General features: G+C 37.0%; 1 protein-coding gene and 1 long non-coding RNA gene across 5 annotated transcripts in view, besides 1 other annotated feature; one reads left to right on the forward strand and one right to left on the reverse strand.

Annotated features, from left to right (window-relative positions):
- The window catches only part of VCAN (versican), a 110,559-nt gene that overhangs the window by 77,173 nt on the left and 21,189 nt on the right, over positions 1-12,197 (forward strand). For all 4 annotated transcript variants that reach the window (NM_004385.5, NM_001164098.2, NM_001164097.2 and 1 more), the window contains 2 exons: positions 4,448-4,606; positions 6,040-6,122. In NM_004385.5, the coding sequence (NP_004376.2) occupies positions 4,448-4,606; positions 6,040-6,122 (242 nt within the window). The remainder of the gene's footprint in view (positions 1-4,447; positions 4,607-6,039; positions 6,123-12,197) is intronic.
- VCAN-AS1 (VCAN antisense RNA 1) overlaps positions 1-12,197 on the reverse strand; it is a 30,963-nt gene that overhangs the window by 17,565 nt on the left and 1,201 nt on the right. The window lies entirely within an intron of this gene.
- Positions 5,231-6,430: an enhancer, noted in NCBI's record as "BRD4-independent group 4 enhancer chr5:82849966-82851165 (GRCh37/hg19 assembly coordinates)". NCBI's record gives its function as "activates an origin of replication core promoter dependent on BRD2, P300/CBP, MED14 and CDK7 cofactors, and independent of BRD4, by STARR-seq in HCT116 cells {active_cell/tissue: HCT116}" and the evidence as "EXISTENCE:reporter gene assay evidence [ECO:0000049][PMID:35650434]".

The raw sequence follows: 12,197 nt of genomic DNA on the forward strand, positions 1-12,197 counted from the left end.
CGATGAATGCAAATCCAAAAGGAGCATGTATTGAATTGCTGTTCCAAGTGGATGGATGATGGCTACATTTTTAGGTGTTGGTTTTTTTCTTTTTTTATTGCATAGGGTAAATCTGTTTGTTTTAGATTTTGAATATAAAGATAGACCAAGCAAGATCCTCTTCTTAAAGTAAAAACATTAGAAAGATGGCATTTGTTGAAGAAAACAAAAGCCTGAGACAGTTGAGACATTCCAATATGTTAAACATGATTCTGGCTTCTGTTAGTTCCAAGTACAAGAAGCAATTCAAAAAATCGTTTTTTCAATGTGCATTTACTGTCTTCCAGGCACTGTTCTGGGCATTGGAGATAGAAATATGAACAAAACAAAGTCTCTGATCCTGGTGACTTAGCATAACTCTTGGCAGAGAATAAAATTTAGTTCTTTACAGACTATCAAATGCATCCTGGCACATTGTTTCATTTGGTTGGCATAGCATTTCTATGCATTCAGTGGGCTAGAAATTAAGGCTCAGAGAAAAAAAGTGATGTGTTTAATGTCACACAGCTAGTAAATCGTACAATGGGAAAAGTGAACCTAAATGGCTTAACTCTACAGCCCAAGTTTCTCTGAATATCTTCACACTTCTAAAGTAACTCTCAAAGATAAACACTTTATTTATATGTTTATCTGATGCATTGAGTGGCAACAGATTTTTGGAAGGGACTTTGGTGCCATTGACCTTTTCTCTTTCTTTTCAAAAGAATATTGAAAGTAAAAAGTGTTAATTAATTTTATTTCTGGTGCCACCTGACTTTCAGGTACTTTTTATTGTATTTTCAAGCAAGTTTGATTTTCATGCACATTTTTTTGCTGAGAAACATCGATCTCAGTCTGTTTACGCAGTGCAGCTGTGCTCCTGTGATTTATTGCCAGGATACTGAAAGATTTTTTTCCTCTTTTCAGGTTGCCTAAGAACAAATGTTTTCTTCATTAACAGCAGCTTTGTTGTCTAAACAATTTTCTATCCAAAGTTTGGTGATGACCGTGTCAGTGTTCCTTCAGCTGACGTTTTCTGTTCTCTGACTAGTAACTTCCCAAGTCACAGTTACTCCGAAATAGGGGACACATTTTGGTGCAATAATTACAGATACAAAATCTAGAAAGGGCTATTGGAACAGTAGAGAGGCAGTTCTGGCTGCACAAACTGCCCTTGCCAAAGTCAGTGATACAGCTTGCCTAGTGAGAAGTGTGGAGGATGGGCACTTTCTTAGGACTTGACAGCTATATGTCAGAGAGGTTGAAAACATTACCTGTACAGCATCAAAAGAATAAATTTTTGGTGAATTTGTTTGTGATAGTTTCACCTTCTATGTTCATGAACAGGAGCTGTGCACACTACAAATCTGGGTTTGTATTGTAACCCATTGAAACAACCTATTTTTTTGTAACCTCTTTAAAACCTATAGGAGTTTTAAAGCATAAGATGTCTTTCCATGCATTGAATGATTTTTAAGAAAATGTCATCCACAAAGGTTGCCTTTTAATAAATAAAAAGAGTTTCACATAATTTTTAGGTAAGGTTGAAAAAACAAATAGACTATTTCTATGAATAGTATCTCCTATCAGAATAGCATCCTGGGAGATGCAGCTTGACAAATGATCCTTCATTACATATTTGTTGAATTCATGAATAATAAAATTTAAGTGGCCAGGCATGGTGGCTTACGCCTGTAATCCCAGCACTTTGGGAGGTCAAGGCGGGCGGATCACCTGAGGTCAGAAGTTCGAGACCAGCCTGGCCAACATGGCGAAACCCCATCTCTACTAAAAGTACAAAAATTAGCCGGGTGTGGTGGCGGGTGCCTGTAATCTCAGCTAATCAGGAGGCAGAGGCAGGAGAATAGCTTGAACCTGGGAGGCAGAGGTTGCAGTGAGCAGAGATCATGCCACCGCACTCCAGCCTGGGTGACAAGAGTGAGACTCCATCTCAAAAAAAAAAAAAAAAAAAAAGTGAATCAATGTGGATAGTTGGCTTTGTTTTTTTTTTTTTTACACAAAAACCACTCTAAGTGGTTTTTGCAGATATATTTATAGTCATTGGGAAGCTATGATTTAGATAGTACAAATAAATGCATTTTCCCAGTTTGGTTTTAACAGAAACCCCGCCTCTATTTTTTGGACCTGTGTTCTGATTGGAATGTATGCATCTGCTAACTGAGACAGGCACTGTTAGTAGTGAAGTGGTCACATATCTAAATTTTGTGATCATCTGGGTTTTCTTGTTTAGGAGGAAAAATACTTAATGATAAACTATTTAGAAGACAAAAAGGGGCTGGGTGCGATAGCTCACGCCTATAATCCCAGCACTCTGGGAGGCCAAGGCAGGTGGATCACCTGAGGTCAGGTGTTCAAGACCAGCCTGGGCAACATGGTGAAAGCCTGTCTCCACCAAAAAATACAAAAATTAGCCAGGCATGGTGGTGCACGCCTGTAGTCCCAGCTACTAGGGAGGCTGAGGCAGGAGACTCACTTGAACCCGAGAAGCAGAGGTTGCAGTGAGCCAAGATCATGCCACTGCACTCCAGCCTGGGTGACAAAGCGAGACTCCACCACAAAAAAAATAAAAAATAAAAAAGACAAAAAAGGGGAAACCAAACTAAAACCAATTGGGTTAATAGCAGATAAAAAAGGGTATGTAGAAAAGTTTTTTCTGATGTATTATTCAAGGGGTTAAGATCCTCCATAATTTTACATCATGTATCTTAAATTAATGTCCATGGTTAAGGAAAGTTATGCCATTATAAATCACATTATTTACTTTGGCAGTAAGAATGTTCTAAAAGTTTTTTTGATTCTCCTCCTCTGTAAACTAACCCCCTCATATAGGAAGAGCTGTGTTCTTCCTAGCCCTCTCACCTTACCTCTAAATTCTTACAAATGAACTTCCCCAAAGCAGAAATACTACATCCAAGTAGCCAAAATTTGCTTCATTTTGAGGCACTGAGTGCTACTTTTATACCAAACCATCTAGCTGTGTCTTGAGTCCTTTCCTATGAGACTTGGTGATCTCCAAACAACACTTTAATAAACGCAAAGCTTCCAGTGCACATTACTCAAAAGAATTAGTCAGCTGGCTGCAACTAAACAACAGGCCTGATAGACTAAACTGAAATAAATACTGCTCTCAGATAAGCTGCATCTGTTGTGTGAGTATGGTTTTAATCACTGAAGCCAGGAAAGAAATGAAATCTTTCAGAATTCATACTTTCCCACAGTTATAGAAAGAGGAGTAACAGGAATAAGAGTCAAGAGACAATCTGAGTTTCAATTTGGCCACCAAAACTAACGTATAAAGCAAACATTTATTTAATTTAGTAGGGTTGTGTTTTCTTCTATTAATCAGCAAATTTGGGTGGGGGGAGATACTTACTAGGTCATCTGGAAGGTTTTGTTGGTGCCTGAAATTCTATAAACTGCAGTTTTGTTAGTTTTTACATGTAACTACTTCAATATAATTGTGGGGTGTATTTTGTGAAAGTCAACCCCACCTGTGGATGAGCAATTCTGTGGGAAGATTGCCAATGAAGAATACAGTGCTATGAACAATGCCACTTTCTTGTGGAATTATGTAAAAATTGGCAACCTAGAAAGTGTAGCTGATACTGCCAGTGTAAAATTTAGATATATTTGAAAAATATTATTGTCCCACTGGAATATCAGTTATAGTGTGCTTATTGTGAAACACACACACAGACACACACACACACATATGTATATGACCTGGTGGAATGGGGGGGTGAGTTAAATAATTTAATTTATTTCATTTTTAATAAACTTAAAATCTTGATGCATTTTCATTGGGCATTACCTATCTTACCCTTCTTTTTAGGAAGAAGGCATACAGTTCTAGCTGTATCCCAAAACGTACCTATTCATAAAGGATTTTTTTCTCTTTGTCAGTTTTACATGACAAGAGCCTGTGACTTCTCAGATATCTCTTTGGGAAATGGGAGAGGACTACTTCCAGAACCTTTGAAGTTGTTATGCAAATAGGGCATTCATAATTCTATTAGCCGGAACTCTTATCTATCACTTGAATGAGTCTCTTAGAAAAGTTGTGTTGGTAAGGAATTAGCCCCAGTTGCTTCACAAGTAAGTCAGCCAGTGCTATAGCAGCCCAAGAGATTTTGGCTGGCCCCTCTTCCAGTTTTCTCTGGCTTTAATCAAGGAAGTTGCTGTTAGATGCTGCCTTTGCAATCCAAAGATATATAGCCATCCACTTGGCACGAATCAGTTGGGCTCACTTCATAATAATTTCTTTGTCATCGTGACCAAATTTTATGAATCAGTTACTTCAGGGACATTGCACAGATACTGGCTTGGGTATCCTACTAACACTTGGTTGGGGGTGCCAAGTTTGAATGACGTATGTGCGTTTAATAAGCTCCTGCCTGTTTCTTCTCAGATACCGAGACATGTGACTATGGCTGGCACAAATTCCAAGGGCAGTGCTACAAATACTTTGCCCATCGACGCACATGGGATGCAGCTGAACGGGAATGCCGTCTGCAGGGTGCCCATCTCACAAGCATCCTGTCTCACGAAGAACAAATGTTTGTTAATCGTATGTACCAAATAGATACGAGTTTCCAGGAACTTCACTTCTCATCACTCTCTTAGTTTTGTCTGTGTGCAAGTGAAAAGAAGTAGCTTTTTCAATCATAATACAACTTATCAAATCCCTCATCTGTGAATTACTTAAAATCATCTCACCTATGTTAAGTCCCCCATTTGGGGAAACATTCAACTATAATATAGGTAGGCATTGGTTTGTCTGCCAGCAGTAATAGTTGAAACACTTGCTGTAGGTTGAATCATAAGCAGTTGCTATTTGATCATTTTTAAATATACAAAAACAGCTATTTCTTATGGCTCAATAGAATTCTTACTATGGTTATACTTTCATAGTCTCTATTTTGAATATTTATATGCCTGTCTAAAATTACAGTTGTTTTCAGTTATTTTTGTCCTGCTAATTAAAATTGAATTGTTAATAATAGCACCCTAATCTTACCTTTTGGGCATATTGATTCTCATTCAAGTTTCTAAATATTTTAAATTGTGGAAAGTGAGCTACATCCTAAGAACTTGAATAGGTGGAGATTGAAAGCTAATGAAACTTAATATCAGAGCTGTTTAATAACTCCTTCAACTGCAGCAAAAAGGAGGGCAACTAGTTTTCATGTAGCAATATGTAGAAATTTGTTGCTCATAAAGCATTTTCTTAAGAGGTAGTGTCTTGCCATGCTGTCCAGGCTTGACTTGAACTACTGGCCTCAAGTAATCCTCCCACCTCTGCTTCCCAAAGTGCTGGGATCATAGGCGTGAGCCACCATTCCCAGCCTCATGAAGCGTTGTTTGATGTTCTATTAAATATTTTCTCGTGATGCCTACTATCGTTTAGAAGTTTGTTAATTTGTAATCTGGATAGAGGTTCATTTAACTTTACTGCGTGATATCCTTGCCAGTGACTCACCTCATGGTAAAAGTAAATATTTTTGAGGATAAATCTGTAGAACTGTCTAATCTAGGTGTTCACTAATTAAAATGTTTTGAAAAAAAGGAACAAGTGGCTTCCAAAATGAGGGTAGCGTGGATAAGATCTGGCACATTTTATTGGGTCACTGAATTTTTGCCAATGGCATCGCTTAAAAACAACAACAACAAAAAAATAGAAAATTTCTATCATAAAAAAAAGAAAATTTCTATCATGAGTGAGGGTGGGAAAAAATTTAATTATAGTAAATTGCTAGGGGAATTATTGTCTATGTCTTGATATTTTAATGCTTCACAGGGTTTGCACATTAACCTTTTCATTTAAAGCACATTGGGCAGAAGAACAAAAGGTAGACTAGGAGAGATTTTTATGAGCAACTAAATAAAAATCCAGCCAGTAAAGAGGATGCATGATTCATGCTGAAAATAATTTTCTTTGATATATTTTCATCCATATATGGAAAAGTAGTACAAATATCTGTGTGGTTTCCTATCCCTTAGGTGTGGGCCATGATTATCAGTGGATAGGCCTCAATGACAAGATGTTTGAGCATGACTTCCGTTGGACTGATGGCAGCACACTGGTAAGATGCCCTTGAAAATGATGTCAAGTTCTACCTTCTGGAAATTTGGTACTGTGCACTGATTGTGCATTACAGAGGGTGCATTAGACTGGAGGCAAGTTAAATGACTTGCTCAAGGTCACTCAGTGAAACAGAGAAGGGTTAGAAGAGTTCCAAGCTACCTGATCCAACATCCAGTCCTCTCTTCAATAGTTGTGGTTCTCTTCAAAAGAGGAGTGTACCAGATTTCTATCAAACCAGAAAACCAGACAATTAGTAGAATTGCCTTGGGTCTGTCTTTCAGATGGTTATCTTTGCTTTTTCTAGCTTCAGAGCAAAAAGAGAAGAATAAAATGTAGCAGAAAAAGTCATTTTAAAAAAATACCTTTCCGTCTTAAATAATTCACTGGAAATCCGCTATAAGGCATGACTCATTTCCAAGCAAAAATATCCATTTATTTTTATCTTAAAGAAGACTGTTGATATGATCTTGTGAATTTCTGCCAACTAATTACATATTTCAACTTGTTTTCTATTTTTTGAAGAAAGAAGTGACTTGGAAATGCTGGCCACAACTTTGAGTAGACTGTAATAGGTTCTTAGAACAGGTGAAGCTGTTTTGAGTCACTCTTACTAAACTCAAATAAATCTAATTTTTATAAAGAGTTCAAATATGATTGTCTATACTAGTGGTACTCAGTGCTGGCTGTTCATTAGAATCACCTGGAATATGTAATTAAAAACTGGTGCTTAGGCCTTATCCCAGGTCCATTACAGCAAAACCTCTAGCCGCTGTATTTTCTCAGTGTTCCACAGGTAATTCTTAAACGCAAAGTTGGGATCCACTGGGCTAGATAGTAAGTGTAAATTAAATTCTAAATTAGAAACAAAGTGTAAAATATTGAAGATAATTTTAAAGGCCTTTTTGTGTTTTTATTACTTAGGTATTCAGTTTCATTCATTATCTGCCACTTGTTTGGATTCAATGAGTTTGGCAAAATATAAAATTCATTCAAAAACAGATGTCAAAGTAATCTCTGCTTTTGGAAGTTCTGCTCTGTCTTAAGAGAAGCTGCTCCATCATGGACACACTACTCACTTTATCTATGTGCCAGCCACTGTATTAAGCACTTGCTTATGTTTATTCCCCACAATAACTTTTAAGAGAGGCAATGGGTTTTCCTTCACCTGTTTTACAGGTAAAGAAAGGGAAGGTCAGTTAGGTTGAGCTATTTGCCTGGAATCACAAAGCTGTTAACTGATGAAGCCAGAATTTGAACTTAGGCTTGTCTCCAAAGCCACAGTTTCTTCTGACCGGTACCTCCTCGGCTTTAAAAAGAGTGTATCCCTTGTTACATTTTCGCTTTGAGCAACCCAAAATAAGACCTGAGTTTCTCTCTCTGTCACCACTGTTTATGTTTAATCAGCACTGTTTCACTGTTTGTCATTCAAGTTCTTAAGTAGGTTATTTGGCAAGATGTGAGAAAAATAGGGAAAAATAGGTTGTTCTTAAAATATGTTCCCAGTAAGCAATAGGAAACACAACCTTAGAATCAATAGGCTCATCTTCTTCTATTAATAATTGTCCTGGCTGGATGTATTGGATCTGTATCTGCAATTGTTGCCTCTTTATGTTTTCATTTTGCTGTACTTAGGGGGATAATACTGGCCTATTAGATTAATAGCGATTGGTATAGCATGAATCTTTATATTACATTAATTTTAATTGAAGATAATTTTGATCCTATTAATTTAATTTCTAAGTGAACATATGATTCAGAGATTGTTTCTATATATTATAAGCTGTTTTTATAATTTTATTAATGTATATCATACAGTGAATGCATTTAATGAGTTTTCCTTGTTAAATGTGTACTTCATTCTCATGGAATACATTGGGTTTTAGGGTGCCCACTATTAAGTCTACCTCCCACGAATTTCCCTTATTTATAGCCCAGTGAAAAGTGCAGGGTTTTGTGAGCCCCCATCATGTATACAGAAGCTGGCATGCCCAGGACTCAGCTGGCCATTTCTATCTAGTTACTGCTTATTTGTGCCTGGCAGATGCAGCCCATGACTTATCCCAAAGTGTACCTGTTGTCTGGGTTCCTGTAGATTCCAGCCCTGAGCCTAGAATAGCTGCATTTGGCCAGGTGGAGTGTACGAAAAATCTTTTTTTCCTACACACTTACCTGACTGAACCAAGTCCCATCTATTTCTAATCTGTCATTGGTTACATAGATTTGATGTGTGTGTTTTTATTCTTAGCATGTATGTGTGTTACTAGATGTTTATTCTGGTCTCTCCCTTAGCAGTTCACCTCTTCAAAGAAGTAATTCTTTCCCCTGCTTTTTATTTCTCGTGGTGTCTGAAATAAAGTGTTATCCTTTATTCCTGTGTGCTTGGTTAAAGAGACTTCATATTGGCCTATATCTGGCAGCTATGTGGATTCTGTAGAGTATCTTAGGAAAATTATCTTCCCTGCCAAGTGCCATACAGGTGAGCTTGATTCATCATATGTCATTATTCCCCTATGCCAAAGCAAGGCAACTCAACTAGTTTTTGTCTGTGTCCATTAATTTTTAATGTAGGTACACAAATACTCTGAAAAACATAACAGTGACTATTTCCATAGTCTAGAAAGGTCCTAAACGTGGTAAATTAGTGAGCATCGCACCTTGTCAAAAAAGAAATATTGATTTCCCTCTGAAATTTTGCTCTGAAACTTCCAGAGGAAGATAACATAAGCTAACATAGATAACTGTACAACATAAACAAGAACCCTACTCTTAATTAGTTGGCACTTTCACTTGAAACGTAAGGATTATGGAGAATGCACTGAGGGCCTCAGTTTGAAGAAGACACATGATGAAATGTATTAACAAGCAAAGTTTATCAAAGAAATGACACAAGTAAATCCAGAAAAAACTCTGACAGACCCTCGGTTTCTTCTTAATTCACTCTCTGTGTAAAATAAAAGTGTGCTAAGGAATGTCCCTTAACTTTGAAAATACTGGAACAGAACAGACCATCTGTCTTAGAGCCGGTCTCCCTCGCATTCAACTGATCTCCTGCCCACTTTCTTGCTTTTGTAACCACCCTTTCCTCTATCCTTTTCCTCTCTGAAACAGCCTAGGTGTCCCTTAAACTCGTTTGTAGTTTTTTCTACAGTCACCATCCCCTTAACGGGTTCCATATGTGTGCAGGCCTTTGAATAAAATCCTTCTGCTTTGTTTCGCTGTTTACTCCAAGGTTTTTGCTTTTGAAAATATCCCTAACAGTAAAGTCTTGGTCAGGGGGATCAGTATCTGCTTATACTTGGAATGGTGTTAACTTGACTGTGTGCAGTTTTAAGGACTTTGTTTATGTTTTGGAGTGATTTCTCTCCTCTTCCACACCCTCTCTATCTCCATTTTTTTCTTTGAAAGATTTATTAGAGCTTCTCCGTCTTGGGTGGTAGAACAGTATTAAAACAAAAAGAACCTTTCATATTTACCTTAAAGTGTCTTTTGATATTTAGCCTTACAATCCAGTAAGAAGAAACAAGTTTATATTAGGTCTCAATTTCAATGATCCATTTTACTCAAATAATTAAACTTTGCTTTCAATAAACTTACAGTATAAATGTATCATATTTAATGTTATGCTATACAGCTAGACTAATTCAACTAGTATACTAAATTAATGATGTTATTTGGCTAAGTTATCTAAATTGCCCTTATTCTTGAGATTCTGATGGATTCATTCCACATTACTGGCCTCTATAATAGGATGTTGTTATCATTGATGAAATGCCAAATTCTCATTTCTGTTATATTTTTAAAATCTATTACTTTTTTTATTTGGGGTGTTTGCCCAATAAATTTCACAAAAGTGAATTCATGAATAAAATTGTGCCTAGCCTTACCCTTGTGATTTATATTAAGATTATTTCTTTTAATACATTTCAGTTTTTACTTTGTCACTTGGCTTTCTCCTAACCTAGTTATTCTTTAACTTGACTATTGTTAACTTGACGATTGTTCTCTATAGCAAAATGTGCCTACTGCTTTATTGGAAACCCTAACAAATAACTTCACTAATGAATTGCTTTGCTTGTCACCCAAGTAATATCTTCAAAGACACTCAGTTAAACCATCCAAGTTAAATATACATTAAAGCTGGCAAACTTAAACAAACTTTTCTTATCTAGCTTATATACTGTTAGCTGACTTTAAAGTTCTTTCTTAAACCAACTGTTAAATGAATGACTAGTCAGAGTGTTTTCTTTCAGATCTGTTTTCCAGTGCTAATGACCTTTCCCTTCCCTGGCTATGAACTCTTGTCGCTCCCTTAAAATTCTTCAGTGTCTGCTCATTGCCTTCAGTATAAAATGTTAATTATTAGTATGGCAGACAAAACCAATCCACTCCGTCTGCCACTTCCTGAGCTATAGCATCTCAAAATACTCTCAGCTCCTGGAATAAGCCATGGGTTCTCACTCCTGGGCGGCTTTGCCTGTACTGGCCCTAGTGTTTAGCATATTCTCACGTCTTATCCTCATTTCATCTCACAAACAGTCAAATACCCTGCATAGCCAAGGGTCTCCTTCCAGGAAGCCTTCCTTGCTGGGAATGACTAAGAGCTCCTCTTCTGTGCTCCCACATCTTTTTTGTCCTCCACCCATCCTAACTCAGGCTCCTGTGAAATCAACTTCCTGACACTGAGTCTTCTGAGATAGGAATTAACTTTCGTCTCTGTTTTTTCAGCAACTAGCAGAGTAGTTGACATAGAACAGGTATTTAATAAATATTTGAATGAACAAATGATCATCAGTATACACACATTGCTCAGCCAACTCTATCTTTTGAATCCTGAAATGAACACATTATGTCTTTCAGCTGAATCTCTTTGTGACATTTTTTGCCTAAATTAAAGATTTTATTTAAAGTTGTACCAGTATGAAAAACATCAAAACATAATAGATGGGTTTTACGGTGAAAAGACCAAAAAAAAAAAAAGATATTCCTTAAAAATAGAAGTATATAGTTGAACATACTGCATCTTATAAATGTATCAACCCAAAGGAAAACAAGTGTTTTTACTAGAAATGATGACAATTTTGTCCATGGTTGTCCTAGAAACACCTTTGCAATAAACTTTGGGAATTAAAAATGGAAAGTAAACTTTCAACCTCTGCCACCCCTGCAGGTTTGAGTTATATCAGGGCAGGTTTTCCATGAAACTTTAAGAAACCAACAATTACTCAAAACTTTGGAGGAGGATTTTTTTTTCCAGATAGGCACATATTCCGTAGGTATACTTTCTGAAGAAAAATGAGTTTTAGAAACCTTATTATTTATATCCAAAATGGAGTGAAACAAACAAAAGGAAATATCACTCCCAAATATTATCAGCTCATTTTACTTTTTATAGATGCTTTGGCTAAGGGTGATTTGGTTGCATAAGGTGGGATAGGGCTTCATTTGTAAATCCACTATCTGAGGCTGTTTATTCAAGTGCAGAGGAAGCCAGACAGGCAGGGAACGTTATGGAATCATTTATATTTATCTGTCAGTATACCTCCTGGCAAAATGATTTTCACAACACTGTTTTCAACTAAAGACTATAGTGTCTATGGGACAGCCCAATTAAGGAGCTATCAGAAACTCTTACATGCTTTCATCATACTGTTCTGTCTGACAAACCTCTCCAACAAGTGGTTTAAAATCAAATTGTGGAGCTCAGAGATTTAAAGCTGTCATATTGCTTCCTTCTCTCTTGGACCCTCTGGAGTAAGATTCTCACGAGGCGATTCTCTGGGCTCCACATTGTTCCTTTCTTCAATGATTCCCCCCAGCACCATCAAAGCTGACCCTTCCCCACTGGACACTGGTGTCTTCAGTGGATCAGACGCATTTACTTCAAAGGGAACCATCACTTTAGATGGCCATGTATAGAGGCCGAGGACTGAATAAAACTGACATTGCCATTCCATTTTTAAAATATTGGGGAGTTTTTGGAATATTTAGTTTGTTCTGCAGAAAAAGCCCTGACTTTATTCCTAAACATTTTAAAAAACATTTTCTGCATCTCCTTCACTTTTTTTACTTCTGT

This window comes from Homo sapiens, chromosome 5 (assembly GCF_000001405.40).
Source record: "Homo sapiens chromosome 5, GRCh38.p14 Primary Assembly".
NCBI classification, from domain to species: domain Eukaryota; kingdom Metazoa; phylum Chordata; class Mammalia; order Primates; family Hominidae; genus Homo; species Homo sapiens.